The 22,365-nt window shown below is 43.3% G+C and overlaps 1 protein-coding gene across 31 annotated transcripts in view, besides 3 other annotated features; it reads left to right on the top strand.

The window, feature by feature from the left end:
- Positions 1–22,365, top strand: part of MTSS1 (MTSS I-BAR domain containing 1) — a 177,690-nt gene that overhangs the window by 35,957 nt on the left and 119,368 nt on the right. The window lies entirely within an intron of this gene.
- Positions 4,395–4,689: a silencer, noted in NCBI's record as "tiled region #8202; HepG2 Repressive non-DNase unmatched - State 5:Enh". NCBI's record gives its function as "represses a minimal TATA promoter and a strong SV40 promoter by Sharpr-MPRA in HepG2 cells {active_cell/tissue: HepG2}" and the evidence as "EXISTENCE:reporter gene assay evidence [ECO:0000049][PMID:27701403]".
- Positions 18,851–18,900: an enhancer, noted in NCBI's record as "active region_27895". NCBI's record gives its function as "activates an Ori minimal core promoter by ATAC-STARR-seq in GM12878 lymphoblastoid cells {active_cell/tissue: GM12878}" and the evidence as "EXISTENCE:reporter gene assay evidence [ECO:0000049][PMID:35858748]".
- Positions 18,961–19,060: an enhancer, noted in NCBI's record as "active region_27894". NCBI's record gives its function as "activates an Ori minimal core promoter by ATAC-STARR-seq in GM12878 lymphoblastoid cells {active_cell/tissue: GM12878}" and the evidence as "EXISTENCE:reporter gene assay evidence [ECO:0000049][PMID:35858748]".

Raw genomic sequence — 22,365 nt, 5'->3', positions numbered from 1 at the left:
CTGAGTTTTATTTTAACCAGATTGTTTAATTGAGACTTCACTAGCCTTTAACTTCTGGATTGCCTTTGGTGTTCAAGCCCAGAACTCTTTCGTGTAATTAGAGTCTTACTATTTCTACCTAGCAAACTTTTTTTTTTTCTTTTTAAAAAGATTGATGCATCCACATGTTATGGGGGCACATATGATACTTTGATAAATTGATATAATGTGTAAAGTTCGAATCATTTGAGAGGCCGAGGTGGGTGGATCACTTGATGTCAGGAGTTAGAGACCAGCCTGGTCAACATGGCGAGATCCTGGCTCTACTAAAAATACAAAAAAATTAGCTGAGCTTGGTGGCGGGCCTCTAATTCCAGCTACTCGGGAGGCTGAGGCATGACAATCACTTGAACTCAGGAGGCGGAGGTTGCAATGAGCCAAGATCATGCCACTGCACTCCAGCCTGGGTAATGGAGTGAGACTCTGTCTCAAAAAAAAAAAAAAAAAATCAGGGTAATTGGGATATCTATCACCTGAAATATTTGTCTTCTTATTACTACTTACCAAACTCTTTAGCCTCAAACTGAAAACAATTTTTTTTCAAATTAAAAACATCATATAAAAGGCCCTTCTTTTAGGTCTGGAACTGAAAATTCTTTGAATATTACCATAAAGGAATGTAGTCAAATTTCTTCATTTGATTAAAAATAAAAAGGTATATCAGCCGGATGCGGTGGCTCACGCCTGTAATCCCAGTGCTTTGGGAGGCAGGGGCCGGTGGATCACTTGAGGTCAGCAGTTCGAGACCAGCCTGGCCAATATGGTGAAACCCCATCTCTACTAAAAATACAAAAATTAGCTGGGTGTGGTGGCGGGCATCTGTAGTCCCAGCTACTTGGGAGGCTGAGACAGGAGAATCACTTGAACCTGGGAGGCGGAGGTTGCAGTGAACCAAGATCGTACCATTGTACTCCAGCCTGGGCAACAGAGCAAGACTTGGTCTCAAAAAAAAATAAACAACTCTTGAAACCATCTAAACTGTATATATGTGTATGTGTTTGTGTACATGTATGTACGTATGTGTATCCATATACTTTTTATATTGAGCACTTTTTATAATCTCAATCTTACATAAAGTACAAATAAAATCTATAAAAATGATTGCTATTTATAATAATAGGCAACATAGCTAAAAACTGTGGTTATTATGTAAGCATATCTTCAAGATAAATTTTCCAGCTCCTAAGCCCTCCTATACACAGATTTTAGAGCTGCCATTGCCCTAGTGGGAGGTGATGTAAAAAAAATATTGTTTTAAATGGGTTTGTAAATGTACAGTCTGCTTTTGGTCTCATCATTTTGGTGTTTTTCCACTTCAATTTGTCTTGCGTCATTTTAATTTGTTAGCACAATGTATTTAGTCATATACGTCTGCTATGAATAAAACATCTTTTTAAAAATGGCCCGGGCATGTGAAGTTTGTCTTACGATTCCCCATTTTTTTTAAAGCTGTCATTGTTTGGGGTGTGCTTTCTATGAAACTTCAGACTTTGTGTTGAGCCCAGGACAGTAGGGTGTCATGCATTTTTAGCATTTTTACAACTCATACTATACATAAGAACTAGAAATAACAAATGAATCTGTATATTTTTAAAGAGTGTTTTTATTTTATAAATTTAAAAAAATACCTTGTTTTTGATGTTTTTCAGTTGATGGAGTTATGGTTGCTTATGTGTTTGATTATTTTGACGGGCAAGTACGTATATTTAGGAGATTTGTAACCATGAGCCTAGCATTACTGCTGATAAAACGAATCCCTCCTTTCTAATCCCATTGCTCTTTTCTTGATGTAAAAACTGATGCCTGGCGACAGCACTGTTCCCCATTTGACAAGTGGCCTTTTATTATTGATCTTTGGTTGGGTAGCAGCAGTTGCCAGAGAGAATTGTTCATTGTGGTCAACCAGTGCTCCTGCCTCAGTCGTGTTTTGCTTTTAACCATGTCTTCCTGGAATGACACTTGAAAGGGCAGTCATCATGTGTTAGCCCAGAATGAACTCACCGGAATCCCACATTTACCAAAACATATCCTGGATCCTCAGGGCAGGATGTCACCAGAATTCTATAATCCTCCAGCAGGGACAGTGAGGGATATCAGAATTCCACACCCAAGCATGTGTGTCTGTCCTGCTCAGGATTGTCTTACCCCTAACAGAGAGAAAGTCTTGCTCCATTCAATGGGGTTTCCCCATTAGGCTTTAGTGTATTTCCCCAGATGATACTTGAATTACATCTGGATGTGTGTGTGCTGTTCCCTGTCTAACCTCGGCAGCCTTCATCAATGCCGGTGAATTATGCGATGGTGGTGGCGGCGGCGGGAGCAGCAGCAGTGGGGAGGAAGGTCCAAGCTTGGAGAGGATGTGTGTTTTTATGGGTGACTGAGTTGATTTGTGTGCAGCGTGGTTATTTGTGTTGTTAGGCAGTTTACATAATAAAGTGGTTTACTCAGCAGTTGCCCACTTCTAGCTAACAGAGCCACCGTGCATTTTGTATACAAGCACTGACAATTCTCCCCTCTTCTCCTCCCCCACCTCTTTCCATCCTAGTTCTTGCCTTTGCTTCCCATAGATTGGCTTTTTGTTTTGGCTTAATAACTAATACCCCACCCCATCCCCACTGCCACACACACATACCTTGTAGTCACTTTTGGTAAAATATTAACATTCATGAAAGAATGCAGTTATTTTAGTTCATGCAGATGAAGCGAAGAATTTTTTTTTTTTTTTTTTTTTGAGATGGAGTTTCACTCTCGTTGCCCAGGCTGGAGTGCAATGGTGCGATCTTGGCTCACTGGAACCTCCACCTCCCGGGTTCAAGCGACTGTCCTGCCTCATCCTCCCGAGTAGTTAGGATTACAGGCATGCGCCACCATGCCCAGCTAATTTTTGTATTTTTAGTAGAGATGGGGTTTCTCCATGTTGGTCAGGCTGGTCTCAAACTCCCGACCTCAGGTGATCCGCCTGCCTCAGCCTCCCAAAGTGCTGGGATTACAGGTGTGAGCCACCACGCCCAGCCAAGAATTTTTTTTTTTTTAATGTTCTCTTGTGAAGAATCATTTGCCATAGAGCTATGAACTTGGTTTGGTCTGCTCTGCCCATCTTAGATAAAAATAACCATCTGGAATGTAAATGTGAACTTGAAGATACTTGAAGTTGTCAAACTAGTATTTTTCTAGGACGGGTCTGTTTGGTCAGACCACATAGATGCCTCCTCTGTGCTCCCTTTGAAAAAGTCTCAGCTAGAAAACACGCACAAAATGTGAAAGCTAGTTGGAACTAAAATTTTCACTTTAACCTGCGCTTGTGTCCTCTGCTGTAGGAAAAGTGCTGTTACCAGAAAATAACTCAAGGAATAGTTATAGAATACTAAAAAGGTCTTCTGTCACCGAGAATTTGGCAGTGAATTCTTCTGACTCATTTTAAAGACATTAGATTTGTATACACTACTTCAAGAAAGCTTAAAGTGAGAACTACTTGGAAGTTTTTTTTTTTAAAGGAACTATCTGGTCTTTCATTTTTGAGAAGATACAGGATTTTTTTTTTTCTTCTGCTCACCTAGTATCTAGTGCAACATTTTCATTTTTACTGGAGACACTGAATCTCAGTGAAGTCACTTGTCCGAGGTCACACAGCTAGGAAGGAGACTGGGGATTCTAGCGTTGGGTTTTCTATTGCGTGATTTCCCTTAAAAACCACCTAAGCAGTTGTTGGCTCTGACTTCTTGGTTTCATGGTGAGGGAGTTCAAGGAGGACACAGCATAGGTTGTGAAAAAAATCTCTGTTCTGTCTCTCAGCCGGTGATTGTTTACAGACATTTTGGTTTGCTTGTTTGTTAATAAGAAACCCGTGGTCATCTGGTTTCCAAAGCAGCTCTCTGCTTCCATTCTGGTTCTTCCTTTTTCTGCAGAAGATATTTTTGTTTTCTTTTAGCTCTTTGGAAGGGGGGAGGCTATTTTTGCTTACATTTTAATCATTTGTTTCATTTGACATAAGCTTCTTAACTGTAAGAATAATGAGGCTTCAATTCATTTACATTGCCTTCAATTCATCTACATGCACACATACGTACACACACATACACATATACACATACACACAACATACACATGTACACACGTACAACACACACACAACACACATACACACAGACGTACACATGTACACATACACATACATTCACAACATACACGTACACACATATATACACACACATACACATGCACACACACACGCACAACATACACAACATACACATACACACGCATATATACACACAACATACACATATGCACATACATACACACGCACACGTACGCACATACACACAAATACACGTTTTTTGATTCCCAAATGTTTACAATTGAAATGGAACTCTTATTTCTAGTAAAAGACACTGCTGTGGTAATCTGCAGCATTTCCTGCTGTGTGTGCTAGGGCCCAGGGACCTCGGTTACCATGGAAACTAATATCCAGCCGCCCGGGTGGTACTTCCCTTTAGAGCCGCATTTGAGCGCATTTCACAGTTCAATACAATGCTGCTTCTTCCTGCCTTTAAAATCAGGAAAGGGGGCAAAGCTGATTGATTACAAGTAAAATGAAAAAATACTGTTTCTGCTAAGACAGAAAGGGACCTTTAATACGCGCCCTTTTAATCTGATTGTCAGAAGTAGGACAGTGCACAGTTTCTCAAAGATGGCCAGAGGATCTGATAAAATACAAAAGAATTGTGGAGGCGATAGTAAACATTCTTCTTCCTGTGCTGCTGATCCACAGGCTTCTCTTTGAGAATGACTGGCCTGCAAGGCTGACAAGGGTGTTTACCCGCTGACTCTGGTGGAGTCCATTTGGTTCACCAGAAGGGCTTGAGGGCAGACAAAAGACCTTGAGCTCTCTGCGTGTGCCAGTCATCCTGTGTTTCCTGACCCCTGTCTCTCTCAGAACCCACTCACAGAACCAGATCCGAGAGCCTGGGAGAGCTTGCCCGGATTTCAGCCCTTGATTTGCCACTTAAGCACGTGATTGCCATCTGTGCTTGCTTAAAGGGGATGCTGATTAGGAGAGTGATACTTCATTTGGATAATACGATTTAAGCCCAAGTGCAAGAGGTGTTGCTTGTGCTGGAACTGCAGGAAATATGAGCCATGTAAACGCACCACCCAACCTCCTGCAGTGGTCCAGGTGGTCCTACCGGTCACTGACTACAGTATGTCTGTGTGGGAGATGACAGTGATCCCAAGCCCTGGTTTCCATGCAGGCATATGGACTCCTGCTTAATGAGATTGAAGGATAGTAATTGTCTCCACCCTTATTTAGATGATGCCCATCGCTCTGGCGTTTGTGTTTTCAAATGTTTTGGATAAAGCGAGTGCCGGGAGAGTGTGCTATTTAGTGAGCTCAGTCCAGCCTCGGTCTTGAGCATTGACTGTGGGTCCTCTGCTGTTGGGGTTCTCGACTTGCCCACCAGCTGCCTTATCTCAGGTTGAGAAAGGTAGTGGGAACCCCATTTTGCAAATGGGGAAACTCTTGGTGACTTGAAGTCACCTGGTTAAAATGGCACACAACTTTGAAGCTGCCTGCCATTTTAACCAAGTGTGCCAGACATAAGTTTCTGGAGTGTGTATCTCGTCTATGTGACACTCCAGTACCAGGTTCTTCCCACCTCAGGGATCAGTTTATGGAAACACCTCAGAATTGAGACCAGGGCTTCTCAATCTGTGATTTGGGGCTGGATAAATATTAGTTGTGAGGGGCGTGTTGTGCATTGTAGGTTGGTTAGCAGCGTTCTCGGCCTCTACACCCTCTCAGTTGTGAAAACCAAAAATGTGTATTGAGATCAGCCCTGGTTGAGAATCACCAAGCTAGACCTCTTTGGGTTTTGTTGGGCAATTTAACGGAACTCTGGCTATGCCTTTTTTGAGGCAGTTGTAGCTAGCTTGGTTCATTGAAGCTAGGTTTGAAATCATTCATAACTAAGTTATGATGTTAGGAATTCGACAGTCCATGCATTGTTTCATCTGAAAAACAACTACTCTGCCAAGTTGCACGTATACAACTCTGTAAAGAGTCCACATCTTACTAAAAAAAGACTGCTTCCTTTTTACCAAAAGGTCATTTCCCAGAGTGAAAATATGCAAGTTTTTTTTTTTGTTTTCAGAAGATTAAGTCAAATGAGAATAGGAATGGGGTGAACAGAGCGCTTGAGTTCCCGTTCGTGTTGCGCTCCCTGCGTGATGGAGAGAGGGCTCAGGGAGGCGGAGCTGGATGGGGAGGCGGCTGCAGGCCCCCTCTGCCTGCTCACAGCTGTGTGGCCCTGGGTGGGTCAGTACAGCTGGACACACCTGAGTTTCGTTGTCTATGAGATGACAGTCAGGTCTGCCGTACCTGCCTGTCAGGGTGACGGTGGAAGTCAAATGAGGTCATAGTTGTGAAAGCATTTTATAAATTGTAAACCCAGGCAGCTGTGATGAGAGGTCGTGGTGCTCCTGTGACTTGGGACTTTGGGGGTCCCTGGCCACCTTCCGACTGCTGGCTCCTTGGTCACTTAGAGACATGGTGCTCACTTGCGTTCCGCCTTCACCCCGCGTGGCCTGTCCCCTCCCACTTGTCTGTCTCCAACTTCTGCCGCTGTTTGGGATCCAGTTCAGTCCTTGTTTTCTCCTGAATGTCTTCTTCTGGCATTTTAAAAGTATTTTTTATAATTATTATTTTAAACAAATATTTTAAGTATGATGTATAATTATAATGTTCACCCCATTATTGTATGTTTTGTGATTAGATTTGGGGGATGAATGGTGTCTTGAATGAATGTGGGGTTTTTGGCTGTCTCCCCAGTACATGCCCCAGGTGTGTTGAATATGTCATTCTCTCCTGCATCACACACACTCGGAATGCCCTCTCCCTTCCCTCACCTGCAGACTCTGACTTACCTTCCAAGGTTATCTCAGGCGGTCTCTCCTCCAGGACGCCTTTCCTCCTTGAGGGGCTTAGGATCCCCGCTGAGAGCTCTGCCCAGAATCTGGGCTTCGCTGTCGTAGCACTGTACTGTACATTACCTGTTCCCTGGTCTGGAGATTCTCCCACCTTGGCCTCCCAAAGTGCTGGGATTACAGGCATGGGTCACTGCATCCAGGCTCCTTTCTTTTATTTTTTTCTCATTGAGGTGAAATTCATATAACATAAAACTAATCATTTTTAAGTAAACAGTTTAGTGACAGTTTGGACATTTTTGCAGTGCTGTGTGACACCACCTCATCTAATTCCAAAACATTTTCATTACCGTGAAAGAAAGCCCCGTACCGGGATGATGAAAAGTTCTGGAGATGGAGGTGGTGATGGTTACATTAACAATGTGAATATACTTAATGTCACAGGATTGTATATTTAGAAATGGTTAATTAAAATAGTGAATTTCTTGGTTTATATTTATTTATTTATTTACCATGAGAAAAACACACAAAAATCTCATACTCATTAAGCAGTTACTCCCTGTCCCCACCCTTCCCAGCTTCTGGCAGTGTTTTGTGTTTTATCATTATAGCCTTAGCCCCTAACATAGTAGGGGCCAAATACATCTTCTTTGAATGAATGGAATGAGTTTCTACTTGAACACACATTTGTTTATCTATCTAATGGCTATGTGACAAGCAAAGTTATCTTTAAGAACATTTCTTTGAAATGTTTCACTAGTGTTTTTTCAAGGGGTTTTCTACTTATCTACCAGCATCTCCATAGACATACCTCTTAAACCAAACCTAACTTTGTAGCTTATCTGCCCCCACTTCATTATCTTTAGTTGACATTTGGGGCCAGTGATGGAACCCGGTGGTATCTGTCTGGCACACTCACAAAGAAAGTGTTATTAAATCTCTCAAATACATGTAGCAGGTCAAATATATGCCTTTTCTTATGATGTTGAAGTTTTCAATTACTGCTGCTTTTATGAGGGAGAAGGAAAATCTACCCATCCTTTTAGAAATGAATGTTCCTAATCTCATTGCTTCCTTGAAACATGGCCGCCTTGTCATTCGTTCTTTTCTTTATGCTTGCAACTCACAAAATCTTGTTCTTTTCTGTTGCTCTATAATTTATAAAACCGTGTTGCAGTTGGCTTGGTTAGAATTTACTTAGGCATAGTTGAGCCTTTAGATTTTCCTTCTGGCATGGACAAAAGCGTCATTAATTATGAATATGAATTCCTTTGCAAAATGACAAGATTGAACATTTCCTCATGCCAGTAACCCAGCTGTCTCATTCTGATGTGCAACAAAGACTTTTTAGAGATTGTTTTTAATGGCCGTGGTATCAGACACTAAAAAATAAGAAGCTTAAAAGGAATGCAAAGTAGCTTACAGTTCATTCGTCTAGAAAAAAAGAAATAAAGAAAGGTTTTTGCTATCCTGTGGCTGTCTTTACTCTGATTGTACATTTGCAATCTCCAAGTTTTGGCCGTGGCTGCAAACCAAATGGTTGTGCTGCTCTGCTGTTGTCAGATACAAGATTCTATTTGTTCAGATGATCAGTATTTGAGAATCCTATGGCCCAGGTCACTTTTTCGGTCTCCTTGGTTTGATAATGGAAATGGGAGTGGTGTCAGAGCCCCCACCGCATGTGGGTACCGGCTTGTTATGGCCTCACCACCATCCACTTGGTAACTTCTCTTATTGACACTGGAAGAGGCTGCAACTGGGCTCTGATTCCAGAGCCTGGAGGCTTTTAACTGCTGTATTATGGGGTCTTGGTCCTGAGTGTGTCTGCTCAGCCATTGGTTGACCATGTCAGTAAGATGGTTTCTGATGTTTCCACCCGCCCTGTGTCTTGACAGATTTGCAGCCAGATTCAGATATGGCAGTGGGCTCCTTCGTGTTGGAAAGGTTGTGTTGTTCCACTCCGTCTGTCTGGATGCTTCCTAGGGCGTGTCCCACCTCTGGCCTCCAGTTGAGGTTTTCTAGTCTGGAGAGACACCTGTGTTTCTGAGTTCCTTTCCAGGGTGTCAGAGAAGCTGGCACTCTTGGAAATTCCCTACTAGGTTTGGATCCTTGCATGTACATATATCTGTATATATGTGTACATATCTATATGTGTATATACGTATATATCTATATATACATAAAGCTAGTATTTGATAGTGTACTGCAGGCTATTGTAAGACTTTGTTTCTGTTCACAATTCCTTGAATGAGGATTTTGGGGTCATTGTTTTTCTTCCATTTTTTAAATTTCATTTTTTTAAAATTGTGGGCTGCTTCCTTTTTAACCACATGTTAAACATTACACATTAAACGTTAAAACATTTGTGTATAAGAAACTTTTTTTCTTTTTTTTTTGCTTACTTTAAATGGAAGTGCTGTCACATTAAACATCAGGTTTAAATCACATGGAAATAAAATGGGGCCAGATAGTTGAATGTACTGTCATTTCACTACTTTAGGAAACATCAGGAGAGGAACCAAGATGGTCTGAAAAGGTCATAGACTGGGGAAGGAAGGGCTGGGATGACCATTTGTCAGCTTTCAAAAAGCAAGACAAAATGGTTATGCCTGGTTCAGATCCCAGCCATTTTTGTTTTCTTCAAGAAAGTGGTTAGAAATGTGTTTTGGTTTCAGAAAAGCCCTGGTTTTCTTTGATGTTTAGTATAAATTTGGCTTGAAATGCCATATTCCATCATTGTCATATGTAGGCATGTGCTTTTTGTGTGTGCTGTAAGGACAATGTCTACACTGGGTCATTTCCCTCCCCACCCAGTTCCCCTTCGTTGAAGTAGGAGCTGCTGTTTCAGTTAGCTGCCCTGAGCTGGCCTTGCAGTTAGCCACTGGCCCATTCAGCAGCCTGGTCTCCCCTTGCTGACTCCAGGCTTCCTTCTGCATCACGAGAGCCAAACCGGCCACTTTAGCCTCCTGTCTACTGTATTCTTACCCTGCAGGAATGGAGGCTGTAGGCTAGAGCCTGCCTGTTCCGTGAGGCTCAGATCCAAAGGCTTACTCTCCTGGAATGGGGCCTCTCTCCTGTCTCTGTGCCGCCCCTCACACCTGTGGCCTTGTGCACTGATGGATTATTTGCCCGAGGTGAAGAGGAAGCGTTGAAGGGATAGCCGTGTTAGTTTTGGATTCCAGCTACTTTGCTGCTGATGGTTGTGCAACCTCCAGGGACCTGCTATTTAGCAAATAGGGCCGAGCACAGCCTGGGGGAGGCTGCCGAAGATGGGGGTGGGCACAAGTTGATGACTAGTGTCCCCACCCCTGCTCTGACTTCACTTAAAGACAACCCCCAAAATGGCTTTAGCGTAAAATGGAAAAGATGGTAAATTATTCTGGCGTGAGGGCTACCCTGTTGTTAGAGTTAAGAAAGTGCATGGCTGCTGTTTAAGAACCTTTGATTTGAGTTGAATCCCAGCCTGCACTCTTTTTTGCAGTGTGACTTTTGGGAAGTTGCCTTAACCTCTGTGTACCTGTTTTCTCATCTGTAAATTGGATGTGATAACAGCACCTTTGTAGGCTGTGTGTGGAGTCTTTGAGAAGGTGTATAAAGAGCTTTCAGTGCCTGGTTCATAGTAGCCTTCAATCGTTAGCTTATATGAATCAGGAAAGCTAGTATTTATTAGCACATACAAATGTGTCAGGCACTATGCTCTGGGCTTCCTATCAATTATAGTAATCTTTATAGAAAGCAGTTTTGTTTTGTTTTATTTTGTTGAGACGGCATTTTTTTTGCTCTTGTCACTGAGGCTGGAGTGCAATGGCATGATCTCGGCTCACTGCAACCTCTGCCTCCCAGGTTCAAGCAATTCTCCTGCCTCAGCCTCCTGAGTAGCTGAGATTACAGGCACCTGCCACCACACCCGGCTAATTTTTGTATTTTTGGTAGAGATGGGGTTTCACCATGTTGGCCAGGCTGGTCTTGAACTCCTGACCTCAAGTTATGCACCCGCCTTGGCCTCCCAAAGTGCTGGGATTACAGGCATGAGCCACTGCGCCCAGCCAGGAGGCAGTTTTGAGAGAGATACTGTTGATTTAAACTAAACAGTGGTCATGTATTTCTATCATTGAAATATATTTGGGATGGTTACATTTTTATCGTGGATATTTAAAAAGACATACCTCAAAACAAAACAAAACAGAAACTGGGAATGGCATAGAAGCAGAACCTTTGCTGCTTGAAATAGCTCCTTCAGCATAAAACACATGTAGGAGTCCTGAGGTTGGCATTTCTCTCTGCCGCTGGGATGCTGAGTGGAAGATTTGTTACTTGAGTTCATCATTTGCTTTTTTTTTTTTTTTTTAAATGTCACAGCTTCTCTGTGTTGTTTTTGACTCCATAGACACATTTGTCTAAGGTTTTAAAAGTTCAGCTTTTCACTTAGGAGGAAGCTGAGCTCTGTAATTTTCCTTTTTGCATCTGACACTAGGACATTGGAGTCTCTTTCATGCTGGGGGACCCTCTCTACTCTGGGCTATACCACTTAATCCTCAGGTGGCCCTGAACAGATTATTAACTTGCTTAAAGGTGGTTAAGGAGCTCCTCTCCTGCGGTCTAAAGAAATCCCCACTCTGGCCAGGAGGGTCTTGGTGACCTTGCCGAACCATCCTCCCCTAGGAGTAGAGACTGGGGTAACATAAAATGCAGAGAAGCAATGACCTCAAAGCAGCTGGGTAGATGTGACAGCTCCTCAAAGCCTTACCTGTTTTGCCTAAGAGGAGTGTCCTTCATTCGTACCTATAGAAACACTACTTGGCAACAGTGAATGTTCTCTGACACATGTAATAGGTTGTTAAGTTTCTCTATTTAGAGTCCATTGGTAGTCAAGACCACCTGGGTGCTGTTTGCAAGACATAACTATCATGGAAGTATTTAATACTATACTATTGGTATAGCAGGTACATGATATGCTATTAGTGCTGTAGAAATGTTATGTTAGAGACGGGAACCTGAAGCCCCTCCTTGTGGCACATAGACAACCTTTGTTTTTTCCTATAATCCTTTCCACCTTTTCCTTGGGGTAATGCCCCTCCAAGTGTGCTCTCCCCTGGGACTCAGCTGCCTAGGCCTTCCTTCTTAGCCACTGTTAGCTGAGAGCAGAGGCAGCAGCTCTGGCTGGCAGTGGCCCCTGGAGCTTTGACATCTGGAGGGGATGAGGACCCCGTTCGGATGACTCCTGCCCTTCCCTACCCAGGCTGTTTGACTCTTGATCTCGCCTAGTACTTTTTCTCAATATCTAATTCCTGAGCCTGCGATTGAGTTGTCCTGCTTGGACACAGCCCTTGTGTTCCACATGTGTGGTCTGATCCAGTGACAAAGAAGTTGCCATTTAAACATCTCATCTTGAAGAACCATTCTGCCTTTCATGCTTCATGTATTGAACACTGAAACTGATAGGAGTCTTAGCTTTCCCTGTGTGTTTCCAAGGGTTTAATACATACATAATGATCAAGAGAACCTGATTTAACATTTTGCTCACCCTAGTATTAAAAAAAAAAATTCTGGAGAAGGTAATAAAGACTAAGTTTAAAGAATGTCTTGGCAGTTGTTAAAGGAAATTTTAATTAAATCCCAAAATAGTGGGTACATGAGAATAATTCCATTTGAGGGTAACTGTTGGGTGTCCTCATTAAAGCCTATACAATGCATCGTATGAATTTTCTCCTGTTGAAGAGTTAGGCAGCTTTCTATGCTGTTTCTCCTAGACCTTGTTGCAAATGCATGCGAAATTTTGAGATTCCCATATACTATAAGTCTTGTGTTGGCATTTTCTGAAGTTCATTTTGGGCATGGATAGGGAAGGTTATGAGTCAGGTGACAGGAGTTTCCATATCACATCCACATTTGACCATATGGCAGTTTGTTCCTTGGTCTAGCCAACATGCTCTGAACATGTTCCACAGAGGACTGGGCTGGCTTCTTAGAAGGGCTCTAGAAGCAGATCAGGCAAGGATTTTGGCCCAGTGGGGCCAACTGTCCAGAATGGAAGACCGTGCATGCACCTTAATATGTATAACTTTCTAAAAGTCCTAATATTTGAGCCTCACTCTCAGGTAGACTGTTTTACTGATCCGAGATGGGACTTGGGCATCAGTATGTTCTAAAGCTTCCAAGTTGAGTCTAAGTATAGCCAGAATTAGATACCACTGCCTAGACCACGAGCATTGGAGGGTGATAACACAAGACCCTTGTGAATTTTCAAATGCTAAGCAGCCACTACAGTGTGCGACTGCAGTGAGGATGGTCATACCTACCTATTAGAGCAGTTGCAAGGATTAAATAAAACCTTTGGTTAAATGAAGAGAACAAACCCAAGTTGAGATGCCAGCACTAGGCTTGGCTTACTTCTTAGCTAAAGGACTTGCCCTCACAAAACAACCTTGCCTCCTCTAGGATTCGGATCTTGTCTTGGCCAAACCGTAAATTAGCACTTGCTGTGGACCAGAGAACTTCTGAATAGCGCCAACCATGAGAGTTTAAGCCTTCGAATGCCAAGGATCTCCTGAATTCATGCTCCAGAGCTACTCCCAGACTTACAGGTTAAAGTGGAACTGGTAGTGGGGAAAGTAAAGAAGGGATAGGTGTTTTATAGTCGAAGGAGCATGTTAGGCATGCCTGTGTGTTTCTGCTGAAAATAGCTAACGAATTGGTCTGCAGGTTCCGTGATGGTAGAGACTGGGTCTACCTTGTTCATCTTTGTGCTCTTGCAGCCCAGTACACTGTAGTAGTAAAACCTTTGTTGAATGAGAGGATGAATTAGGGCCTACCAGGCTGATAGGGCTTGGCTGTGTCCCCACCCAAATCTCATCTTGAACTGTAGCTCCTATAATCCTTACGAGTTGTGGGAGGGACCTGGTGGGAGGTAACTGAATCACAAGGGTGGGTTTTCCTGTGCTGTTCTTGTGATAGTGAATAAGTCTCACAAGATCTGATGGTTTGATAAAGGGCAGTTCCTCTGTACACGCTCTTTTGCCTGCCGCCATGTAAGACGTACCTTTGCTCTTCCTTTGCCTTCTGCCATGATTGCAAGGCCTCCCCAGCCATGTGGAACTGTGAGTCCATTAAATCTCTTTTTCTTTATAAATTACCCAGTCTCGGGTATTTCTTCATAGCAGTATGAAAATGGACTAATACACAGACCCTGCACTCAAGTGGTGGGGCTATTTGAGAAGGATGTTTTTAGGTCTCCTCTTAACTGGATAGAGAATTTGGAGAGGCTGATTAGTGTTCCCCAGGTCTCAGAGCTAAAGAGCAGAACCAGGATCTTAAGTCTGGAATTATTCCTGTGATACTATGCCAGCTTCCTTGCCATAAATATGTATACTATCCACTGGCCAAACTCATCTCTAAAATGCATTCAGTGGATGAAAGGGGATCAGCTGAGATCATGGTTTGGGAGGGATCAGTCTCAATTTGTCACCTTCATACTGAAGCTATAACACTAAAATCTCTCGGGGATCAAAATGTTTGGGGGAAAAGATATATTTTGATGTCCTTTCTTTCTGGCAGCATGACCAGTACTAGACACGTTAGAGGCATCTAGTGAGTACTTACTGATTTGATTCAGAAAATAGGAGTAACTATGCTTGAATTTCTTTTATCAAAGAGAAAGGAATGAAACATTTAACTTTTAGCAGTAAGCAAGCATATTTTAAAATTTGTGGTCCTCTGCCAACAGGTGACTAAAGGACTCTTTAAATTTTCTTGAGATTCACAGAACAGGGGTAGGTATTTTCTTTCTGAAATATGCTGTTGTAATGTCCTTGCCTTGTTCTTTTCCGGTTTATGCAGAACTTTAAACCTCCCTCCCCTATAAATAAAGAAAAAAACCAGATACACCATATCCTAAAAAGTTAGCATCCATGATTTAAAGAAGGGGTAGGCAGACTACAGCCTCTGGGCCAAATGCAGCCTGCTATTGGCCCATGAGCTAAGAATGACTATTAAAGAGTTGGGGAAAAAAATGAAAACAGTAATGTTTTGTGACATGCAAAAATGGTATGAATTTCAAATGTAAGAGTGCATCCCTAAAGTTTTATGGGAACACAGCCCATTCATTTGGGTTTTGTCTGTGGTTACTTTTATGCTACAGTGGCATAGGTGAGTAGTCACAGCAGAGACCAAAGGGCCCTCAAAGCCTGACATGTTTACTAAATGACCTTTCCTGGCAGAATGTCCCTGATTTCACTTTAAAGCAAAGTACCCTTGGGAGGGAAGGGCTAGGGGTGTGGAGGTAGAGGTAGAAAATATATTTCCTCTTACCTTTTCCTTGCCTTTGGTAAAATTTAAGTGTTCAAGATTAATCTTAAAAAAAATTTTCTCCCTGCCTCCTCCTGATTTGTGTACCCCTGAACTGAGGGTCTTGATTGGGGAAGACAAAAGAGAGAAATGAACAATTGGTGATCGTGGAGACCATGAGAAGGAGGACTTTGGTATCATTCCAGCCAGAGAATTTGTAGGCTTAGCACTCCCTTTTTTTTCTGTGTGCCTTTAAAATTCTCAATAGTCCAATTTTGTTATTTTTTGCATCACATGGGGAACACAGTATGAGAATGTTCATCTGACTGACTTTATTATGTATACAATGACGAGTATTGGACATGACACAATGCACAGTGCCAAGTCCTTTTCATCAGCGTGTGTTTTGTGCCCGTGGCTGGCTGATTGATGGGACTGGGTCTGGCAGGCCTGGCTCCTAAGGTGAGATTGCATTTTGCCCCTTCAAGTAACCTACTGTGATTGCACTCGCTTTATACTGAATTTGAAGCCCCAAACCTTGGATTAAAAAAGAATTCAAGGGAACGGAGACCTTTTCACTTGATACTTGAAGATTCTTAACACCTAGAGGGAGTTGAGACTCTTTGTTTTGCTGAGAAGTTGTCTTGGAAGCAGTGACAATATTGATGTTGACAACATTAGCCTCTCCATTACCTGAGTTTAGATTTGAGCACGTTCTTTCATTTGCCCAGACCTGTAGCAGAGCAGCAGAAGGCTGGCCAGGTTGCCTCACATTTGCGTCTGTCCACATGAGGTTTTGAGCTCAGAGTCTTTGGATGGTCGTGAGATCTTGACTTGATAAAAATGGCTCTGTTCAAAGAAAGGTCTGAGTGTTCTGGTCACTAAATTAGATGGCAAAGATTTGGAGATGAAGAGCTTTGCTTTGGTCTTTCCTGTATCATTTTTCTTTCCATGTCCCTGCAGTGTCTTTACTTTTTAAAGAATTTAATCTTTAATACCATCTTTGCATTTTCCATGCATGTTAGGAATAATGTCCAGTTTTGAGACAGTCCTGTTACACATTCTGAGTTATGATTAATTTTTAAAAATCAAATTATTAATCAATACCTTTTTATTCCTTCACAAACGCTTCATGTGCCCGACTTAGCCTTAGAAGTTCTTCATTGTTTTTCTTATTATAAAAGTGGGGTGGGATTAGAAAGTGATGGCTTAATGAGGAAGGAAGCACAGCTCAAATGCCATTCATATGACCAGGGTCTACCTCACATACTTGTTAGAATGAAATGTGAAAGTGCCTTAAAAGACGTCACCTGCTACATGAATGTCTACCGCAACATTATTCGTGATAACCAAAAGGCGGAAACATCTCAGCTGCCCATTACTGGATGAATGGATAAACAAATTGCGGTATGTACATAATGGAATATTATTCAACCGTAAAAAGGGACGAAGTGCAGATGCTACAACTTGGATGAACCTCAAACGTGTTAGTGAAAGTCAAGAGACAAGAGGTCTCATATCATATAATTCCACTTATGGGGAATGCTCAGGATAGGTAAATCCATAGAGATAGGAAGCAGTTTCCAGGTTGCCAGAGGTTGGTGAGAGTAGGGAATGGGGAATGACTGCTTAGTGGCCATGGGGGTTTATTTTGGGGCACTGAAAATGTTTTTGAACTAGGTAGAGGTGGTCATTACTCACATTGTGAATGCACTGAACGCTTCTGAATCGTTCACTTCAAAGTGATTTTGTCTTATGTCAATTTCACTTCAAAATATAAAACACACACATGCATAATCTGCATCAATGTCACTATATATGGTACACCCTATTCATCACCAGGACCTGTCAGCCTGGATGTACTTGGTCCCCAACCCTGTGTCAGAGGGAGAACCAAACACACCTTTACACATAGGGGACCCGAACAGAGCTCAAGGGCAATGGAACTTGCTCAAGGCCAAGTCATTGGGAAGTGACAGTTGTAGGACTGGCTCTTGGGTTTTCCTGTTTTCTATGCATCTTTATTCATTATTTCTACATGGTGTTTGCTGGCAGGGGAGGCTGACACATTGGGTAGACTAGTGAAAGATCAGTGTTCCTCAAGAAGCTTCTATTCTGCCCCTCGGAGGGCAGTCAAAGCTCCTCCACATACCTGCTGTGAAGCGGAGGCTAGCTCAGCCTTGTTGTTTCCTGACTTCTTGGAGCTGGCTTTCTCTGTTTGAAAACAGAAAGAGCAAGAATGTTAAGAGGGCCGGACATGGTGGCTCATGCCTGTAATCCCAGCATTTTGGGAGGCTGAGGTGGGTGGATCACCTGATGTCCAGAGTTTGAGACCAGCCAGGCCAACATGGTAAAACCCCGTCTCTACTAGAAATACAAAAATTAACCAGGCATGGTGACATGCGCCTGTAATCCCAGCTAACTGGGAGGCTGAGGCAGGAGAATTGATTGAACCTGGGAAGCAGAGGTTGCAGTGCGTTGAGAGTGCCACTGCACTCCAACTCAGGTGGCAGAGCAAGACTCTGACTCAAAAAAAAAAGAATGATAAGAGGACTTACCTCATAGGATTTTTGGGAGTTTTTAACCAGATTGTGCAGTGCCTGGGAGAGGTTTAATAAATGTAATCTGGCCGGGCGTGGTGGCTTCTGCCTATAATTCCAGCACTTTGGGAGGCCGAGGGGGGCGGATCCCTGCGGCCAGGAGTTTGAGACCAGCCTAGCCAACATGGCAAAACCCTGTCTTTACTAAAAATATAAGAATAACCAGGTATGGTGATGTGTGCCTATAATCCCAGGTACTTGGGAGGCTGAGACAGGAGAATTGCTTGCACCAGGAGGCGGACCAAGTACATCAAGGCTGACAGCTCCTGGCGATGCGTGGGGTGTACCATATATAGTGACGCTGATGCAGATTATGCATATTTTATAATTGAAGTGTTTTTTATAATTGAAGTGGAATTGACATAAGAGAAAATTAATCATTTTAAAGTGAGTAATTCAGTGACATTTAGTGCATTCATAATGTGGGGTAATGACCACCTCTACCAATTCAAAACCTAGTTGCAGTGAGCCGAGATTGTGGCACTGCACTCCAGCCTGGGCGACCGAGTGAGGCTCCATCTCAAAAAATAAAAAAATAAAATAATATATTCTGTACCTGCCCCTTAGACAGTCTGGTTCATTAAGTTTCTTGGAAAGGTTCAGGGAAGAGCCTTGTGCCCTCCGAGGTGACCGGGTGAGATGTGGTTTGGAGCCCCTTCCACCCTGGATCATGCTGCAGCTTGGATCATTGACCCTGTCTCCTGCTCTCTGAGGAAGAGGACCCTTCCTGTGTCTGGAGCAAGGGCCATGGATTTCACAGTTGGGTGGCACTGACAAAGCTGCAAAGGCTCGATGGCTTTATTAGCAACTCACCTTGTGCCATTTTTCAGGTAGATCTGGCTGTTGGTTCCATGAAATATGGGCACGTTGGTGAAATACTCTTAGGCTTCTAAAAAAGAGAAAGGAAAAAAAAGAAATAGTGCTTTCCTCTGCTCGACACACCACAGTTCCAGCTTCAGGATGCCCTAACACAAGGCAAGAGAAACGTGCAGCTTTGAATCTGGGTCTCCTTCTCTTCTTGTAGTAACATAAATTGACGCGGCCCATCTGTGCTGCTTCAGAACAAACAAGAATGAAGTCATGGTGCTTAAAATAGCACAGGGTGGAGTGGCTGAGAGCAACTCTCACTCTTCCACCTCCCCTGGGGACTTTCACGCAGGGTTTTGGAATGGTGGCTGTGGGTTCGGTTCCCTTGGCACCACATCTGGGTCATGCATGTGCTTGTGACCAGCTTTTACTCCACGTGCAGGCAGTACTCTTAAAGAGTGATTTTTTTTTTTTTTTTTGTGAGACAGAGTCTTGCTCTGTCACCCAGGCTGGAGTACAGTGGTGCGATCTAGGCTCACTGCAACCTCCACCTCCCGGGTTCAAGCGATTCTCCTGCCTTAGCCTCCCGAGTAGCTGGGATTACAGGCGCCTGCTACCATTCCCAGCTAAGGAGTGATTTTCTCTGAGAGGGACATTTGCTGTGAAAGTGAGTGTGGTCTCTTATTTAATGTTATGTGGCTTTCCCTTCTTCATATCTCCTGTGCTGTCATTATGTGTTTCAGGGCCACTTTAAAACACAGCTCACCTTCCTAACATAGTGCACTAGTCCAGCGAGAACATCCAGAAACTTCATTTGCAAGCTTGGGGTTACCCTGAAGGAAATCCTCATGGCTTGCAAGATTCAGTTCCTGGGGCTTGGCTCTCTTTCCTGGACAATAAATGAGAGGTCTCATTTCTTCTTCATCATGCCCTTTTTCTTTCTCCATATATATGTGTGCATGTGTGTGTGTGCATGTGTGTGTGTATGCATGTGTGTGTGTGCATATGTGTGTGTGTGCATGCATGTGTGTGTGTGCATGTGTGTATTTATTTTAGGATGGGGTGTTGCTGTGTTTCCCAGGCTGAAATGCAGTGGCACAATCTCAGCTCACTGCAGCCTTGCCTTTCCTGGCTCAACAGATCCTCCCACCTCAGCTTCCCAAGTAGCTGGGACTATGGGTGCATGCCACCACACCCAGCTATTTTTTTTTAAATTATTTTGTAGAGATGAGGTTTCATCATGTTATCCAGGGTGGTCTCAAATTCCTGGGTTCAAGCAATCCTCCCACCTTGGCCTCTCAGAGTGCTGGGATTACATGCATGAGCCACCATGCCCAGCCCTTTCCTTCCCATTTTTCTTTTTTTTTTTTGAGGCAGAGTCTTGCTCTGTTGCCCAGGCTGGAGTGCAGTGGTATGATCTTGGCTCACTGCAACCTCCATCTCCCGGGTTCAAGCGATTCTCCTGCTTCAGCCTCCCAAGTACCTGGGATTGTAGGCACATGCCACCACACCCAGCTAATTTTTGTATTTTTGGTAGAGATGGGGTTTCACAATGTTGGGCAGGCTGGTCTTGAACTCCTGACCTCAAGTCATCCACCCGCCTTGGCCTCCCAAAGTGTTGGGATTACAGGCATGAGCCACTGCACCTGGCCCCTTCTCCATATTTTTAAGTGAACAAAAATAATATTAATGTGTTAACACTGTCTTTGTATGTTTTATAGTCTGGATGTATCTTATTACTTCATAAATGCTGAAAAAATTACATTCTTAATTAGTATTCCTTCAGAAATTATGAAGCTGCATTCCAACTGATATCTCTGTGGATGTAGCTGCTGGATTTTTCTTAAAACTTTCACAGAGTATTACTTGCTATGCATGGAAACATGCACCCTTTATGTGAGTTTGTGAGTTGCATTGGTTGGGAAATTTCCTGATGGTCACTGAATATGGCAAAAATTGAGCTTTTGCCTTGCCTGCACAAATAGTATTGATCATAGTGTGTTTATGGACAGAGACTCTCAATCTCTTCTCCTTATTTTGATAAAGGAAATGGATGTTGATCATGGTATGTGTTTCCTGGGGCAGAATGCTGTGTTCTTAATGAAGACACCTCTTATATAAGAGGCGTCTGGTGTTGTTCTGTTGTCAAGATGAAGTCAGGTGTCCAGTAACCACTGTTTGCAAACTTGTATCAGGACATCTTGAACTAATTTGCTGTTGCCATGAATCCTTCTCCAATGTTTGAGCCACCCAGTGGGAATAGGAATGTCCTGGAACACTCTGTCTCCACTTTGGTCATCTTCAGAAAAGTTATCTTTCCTTTAGAGAAACTTTGGGGGTTGCTGTGCACGCCATGCAATTTTAGAGTAGAAGGCAGCCAGGAGGGCGAGACTAGTGAAGGGGGCTTCGTGAGAAAGTCGTGACTTTCCTGGCCCTTGAGGACTTGGCAAGTGGGTGGAAAGAGGGAGGACAGTCTAGCAAGAGGGGCCCCATCATTCGAGGTATGGTGTCCAGCTTGGTACCCATGCATGACTGTGAGGAGACAGGTCTCTGGAGTGGAGAACGGGGGTAGAAGCAATGGGAGAAAGAAGGTTGGTGCGGGTCATGAGGTCAGGTGAGGATTTGATTCTGGAGGAGGGCTCAGTGGGAAAATTTTGGAGGTCAGAAATCTTATGGGGAGAAAAGTATTTGAGGGAGCCTAGCCTGTCATGGTGGATGTGGAAGGGAGGTCAGTTTAGAAAGGCAGTGGTTGGAGCAATCTACCCCAATGAGCTTATTGGCATTGGCATGCAAAGGCTTTTCAGGAAAAAAAGAAAAAGAAAAAAGAAAAATGTTCTAGAAGATCATAGCCATGATCTTGATGGCTTCATCAGGACTAATCACTATGGAAAATTAAGGATGCCCATTTCTTATATTTAATGCGGTAGCTGTGTTTTCTTTTGGTTGACCTGGCCTTTTGGCACTCCTGGGCTCTGTATCTTAAGCCATTTTAGAGAAATTATTTGATGTCCTCAGAGGGAGGAGAATGCTAAAACCACCTCTTTTAATCTGCGGTCTCTGGACTTTTCCTCTTTAACCACTTTGGAGACGGGATGAATTGGTTTCTTAGTAATTAAGAGCCAGGAGCTCTTTTTATTGCTTGTCCTTAACCTCTGACTTCACTGCCCCAGTCTAAACATCCAAATGAGATGATGTTATGAAAGCTCTTGGTAAGCCCTAGGGTGCTGTACAAATGGTGTTTATCTGAAGCTCACTTCCTTGCTTTTAGTCATGTTGCTGAAATGATCAATCCTAAGTGTATCATGTTTGCTGAGCTCATACATACATTTGTATTTAAATTTGTAGCTTTTTATTGATTTTCGAGACTCCTTTGCAAGTACGACGACGTCAGGAGTCCCTAACCATACCTGCCAGGCTGTGTGGGGTGCCGCCAGGCTGTGTGGGGTGCCGCCAGGCTGTGTGGGGTGCCGCCAGGCTGTGTGGGGTGCCGCCCGCCTGAGTGTAATCTCCTTTGCCACCACTAGTCCCTTTTGTTTGTTCAACCATATTGGCCAAATTCCTTTCCATCCCAGGATCACAATATTTGCTGTTCCCTCTGTTTGGTTGCTCTTCTGCAGATCTTTGTGTGGTTTCAGCTCAAATATAACCTCAGGAGGGCCTTTTCTGACCGCCCAGCAAAAATACCCCATCCTCCTCCCACTGCACACCCCAT

The sequence above is a fragment of the Homo sapiens genome, chromosome 8 (assembly GCF_000001405.40).
Source record: "Homo sapiens chromosome 8, GRCh38.p14 Primary Assembly".
Taxonomy (NCBI): domain Eukaryota; kingdom Metazoa; phylum Chordata; class Mammalia; order Primates; family Hominidae; genus Homo; species Homo sapiens.
Note: the sequence above shows the minus strand (reverse complement) of the source record. Positions and strands in the feature narration are given on the sequence as shown.